This window comes from Homo sapiens, chromosome 2 (genome assembly GCF_000001405.40).
Source record: "Homo sapiens chromosome 2, GRCh38.p14 Primary Assembly".
In the NCBI taxonomy this organism is placed as follows: domain Eukaryota; kingdom Metazoa; phylum Chordata; class Mammalia; order Primates; family Hominidae; genus Homo; species Homo sapiens.
In genome coordinates this window covers 157,208,123-157,212,289 of record NC_000002.12, presented here as the reverse complement: position 1 = coordinate 157,212,289, position 4,167 = coordinate 157,208,123, and the positions used below count along the sequence as shown (strand labels likewise).

General features: G+C 31.8%; 1 pseudogene; it reads left to right on the top strand.

Moving 5' to 3' along the window:
* Positions 765 to 1,954, top strand: CDK7P1 (cyclin dependent kinase 7 pseudogene 1; annotated as a pseudogene).

Sequence of the window (4,167 nt, the reverse complement as noted above, 5' to 3'; positions counted from 1 at the left end):
AATTAAAAAATGCTTGGGCATATGAAAGCTAAACTTCTGAAAACCAAATATGAAGATAAAATCTTAAAAGCATCCAAAGGAAAAAAAAAACGATTATATATAGAAGACCAAAGATAAGAATGCGAGCAGTCTTCTCATAAGAGACTAAATAAGGCAGAAAGCAATAAATCAATATCTTTAAAGTACAAGAAAAAAAACGGTTAACTCGCTCAAAATTTTATACCACACAAAACTATCTTTTAACAATGAAAATAAAAGAGTACTTTTTAAGCAAACAAAAGATGAGAAAATTCATTGGCAGTGAAGTTTTATACCATAAGAAATGATAAAGTTTTACAGTCAGAAGGACTATGATACATGATAAATATCTGGATCTATACAAAATATTGATAAAACACTCTAAATAGTAAAGATGTGAGAATATAAAAATTCATTTAAAAATACTTCTGAAAGACTGAAGAAAAATAGTAACAGTACAGTGGGGAGACTGTAACTTAATTAGGAGTAAAACATAACAAAATAATAGCACAAAGAATTAGTGGAAGGAAGTGATGTGTGGCTGTTACAACATATTGAAGTGATATATTCCTAAAATTTAGACTGTAAGAAGTTAAACATGTATATTGTAAATCCTAGAGAAAACAGTAAAAAAATTCAAAAAGCTCTATCTTATAGGCCAATAGTGACTATAGAATTGAATAATTAAAATGCTCATTTAACACAAAAGGACAGCAGAAAAAAGAAGAGAAAAAGAAGAATATATAGATACTAATGCAATGGAGCCTGGTGGACAGAAGCGGCTGTTGGAGGCTTTAAGTTTGCCACGGTTTACAAGGCCAGAGATAAGAATACCAACCAAATTGTCACCATTAAGAAAATCAAACTTGGACATAGATCAGAAGCTAAAAATGGTATAAACAGAACAGCCTTAAGAGAGATACAATTATTACAAGAGCTAAGTCATCCAAATATAATTGGTCTCCTTGATGCTTTTGGATGTAAGTCTAATATTAGCCTTGTCTTTGGTTTTATGGAAACTGATCTAGAGGTTATAATAAAGGATAATAGTCTTGTGCTGACACCGTCACACATCAAAGCCTGCATGTTGATGACTCTTCAAGGATTAGAATATTTACATCAACATTGGATCCTACATAGGGATCTGAAACCAAGCAACTTGTTGCTAGATGAAAATGGAGTTCTAAAACTGGCAGATTTTGGCCTGGCCAAATCATTTGGGAGCCCCAGTAGAGCTTATACATATCAGGTTGCAACCAGGTGGTATCAGGCCCCTGAGTTACTATTTGGAGCTAGGATGTATGGTGTAGGTGTGGACATGTGGGCTGTTGGCTGTATATTAGCAGAGTTACTTCTAAGGGTTCCTTTTTTGTCAGGAGATTCAGAGCTTGATCAGCTAACAAGAATATTTGGGCACACCAACTGAGGAACAGTGGCCGGACATGTGTAGTCTTCCAGATTATGTGACATTTAAGAGTTTCCCTGGAATCCCATGGCATCACATCTTCAGTGCAGCAGGAGACGACTTACTAGATCTCATACAAGGCTTATTCTTATTTAATCCATGTGTTCGAATTACGGCCACACAGGCACTGAAAATGAAGTATTTCAGTAATCGGCCAGGGCCAACACCTGGATGTCAGCTGCCAAGACCCAACTGTCCAGTGGAAACCTTAAAGGAGCAATCAAATCCTGCTTTGGCGACAAAAAGGAAAAGAACACAGGCCTTGGAACAAGGAGGATTGCCCAAGAAACTAATTTTTTAAAGAGAACACTGGACAACATTTTACTACTGAAGGAAATAGTCAAAAAGGCAAATAATGAAAAAATAGTAAACATTAAGTAAATGCTGTGGAAGTGAATTTGTAAATATTCTACACATGTAAAATATATAAAACTATGGGTTATTTTTATTAAATGTATTTTAAAATAAAAAATATATAGCACACATTTGTAAATACAAATTGGTAAATTTAAAGCCAATCATATTGGTAACTATATTAAATGTAAATCATGTAAATTTGTCAGTTAAGAGCTAGGTATTGCCAAATTGAATTAACAAGGGCAAGACAAGTATATTCTATCTACAAGAATCTCACTTTAAATATAAGGCTATAGATACATTCAAAGTTAAAGGACTTGGTCACTTTGACACTTGTCAAAAGAAGCTGAAGTAGGTATATTAGCATTACATAAAGTAGACTTGAGAACGGGAAAGTTTACAAGAGACATAAAGGGATATTACATAGTAATAAAGGGGTAATTTAATCCAGGAAAAATAGCAATTCTATATGTATATTCTTCTAATATTAGAGTTTCAAAATATATAAATAAAAACTGATAGAATTGAAAGGATAAAGGTACAAATCCACAATTATAGTGGGAAAACTCAAAATTCCTGTCTCTATAAATAATACAAGTGGACATAAAATCAGTTAGAAGACTTAGAAAGTACTGTCAACCATTTTTACCTCATTGGTAAAATATTAGAATATTTTCCATAGAATATTTTCCAACAAACAATAGGAAAAATTATTTTAAGTTTACGTGGAACTGTTTAGTTAACATTGAGTATTTTCTGTGCCATTAATAATGCTGCAAACATTAAAAATTGAAATTGCCGGGTGCGGTGGCTCATGCCTGTAATCCCAGCACTTTGGGAGGCTGAAGCGGGCAGATCATGAGGTCAGGCATTCAAAACCAATCTGGCCAACATGGAGAAACCCCATCTCTACTAAAAATACAAAAATTAGCCAGGCGTGGGGGCTAGCACCTGTAGTCTCAGCTACTTGGGAGGCTGAGGAGGAGAATCGCTTGAACCTGGGAGGCAGAAGTTGCTGTGAGCCCAGATCTGGCCACTGCACTCCAACCTGGGCGACACAGCGAGACTCTGTCTTAACACCAACAACAACACAAAATTAAAATCATACAAAATATATATTCAGACCAAAATAAAATCAAACTAGAATTTGATATCAGAAAGATATGGAAAATCAATAAATATTTGGCAATTAAACAAAGTATTAAACATTGTATTAAAAAATCAGAAAAATTAAAAAATATTTTGAATGGAATGAAAATATGGCATATTAAATTTGGGGTAATATAACCAAAGAGCTGCTTAATTGCAAGTGTGTAGAATCAAATGTTTATATTAGAAAATATTTTAAAAGGGTGAAAACTAATAATCTAACCTCCATTTAAGACTGTAAAAACAGGGGTAAATTAAATCTAAACAAACAGAAGGAAGAAAACCAATAGAAAAAAATAATAAAATTACAAGCTGGTTGTCTGAAAAGATTATTAAAATTGGTAAGCTTTTAAACAGACTAAGTAAAAAAGAGAAAAGGTAGAAATGGCCAATGTCAGAAATAAAAGAGGTTACATTACTACAGAACCTACAGACATTAAAAAGGTAAAGAGGAAATATAAACAAGTTTATGGTCATAAATTCAATGTTAGATAAAAAAGAAAAAATAATATCGCTCAAGAAGAAATAGATAACCTTAATATTTCTATGTCTATAAAAGACATAGAACTTAAAAAACCTTTCAACAAAGTTCTGGGCCCACACGACTTGACAGGTAAGTTCTACTAAACATTTAAGGAAGAACTAACACAAAATTTATGCAAACTCTTCCAGAAAAACAAGAGCAAATAAACTTCCCAATTCATTTTATCAAGTTAATATTATCTTATATCCTTATACAAAAATTATACAAAGACATTATAGGATAAGAAGACCACAGAACAGTATCTCTCATAAATATAGAAAAAAATGCTTAATAAAATATTAGTCAAATCTTGTGATATAAAAAAGAGTAGTGCATAATTATCAATCTAGGTTTATCCCAAGAATGTAAGGTTGGTTGAACCTTTAAACAGCAGATGACATAGTTTACTATATTAAAAAACTAAAAAATAGGAATAACATTATGTTAATGGAAATAGAGATAGTATTATATTAATGGATATAGAAAAGGATACAAAGTCAATCTATAAAAATTAGCTATATTTCCATATAATAGCAACTAACAACTGAAAATTGAAATAAGAAAAATGCCATTCATAATAACATAAAAACCCATCACATAATTAAGGGTAAAATTATATATATATTCATATACATATATGTGTGTGTGTATATAT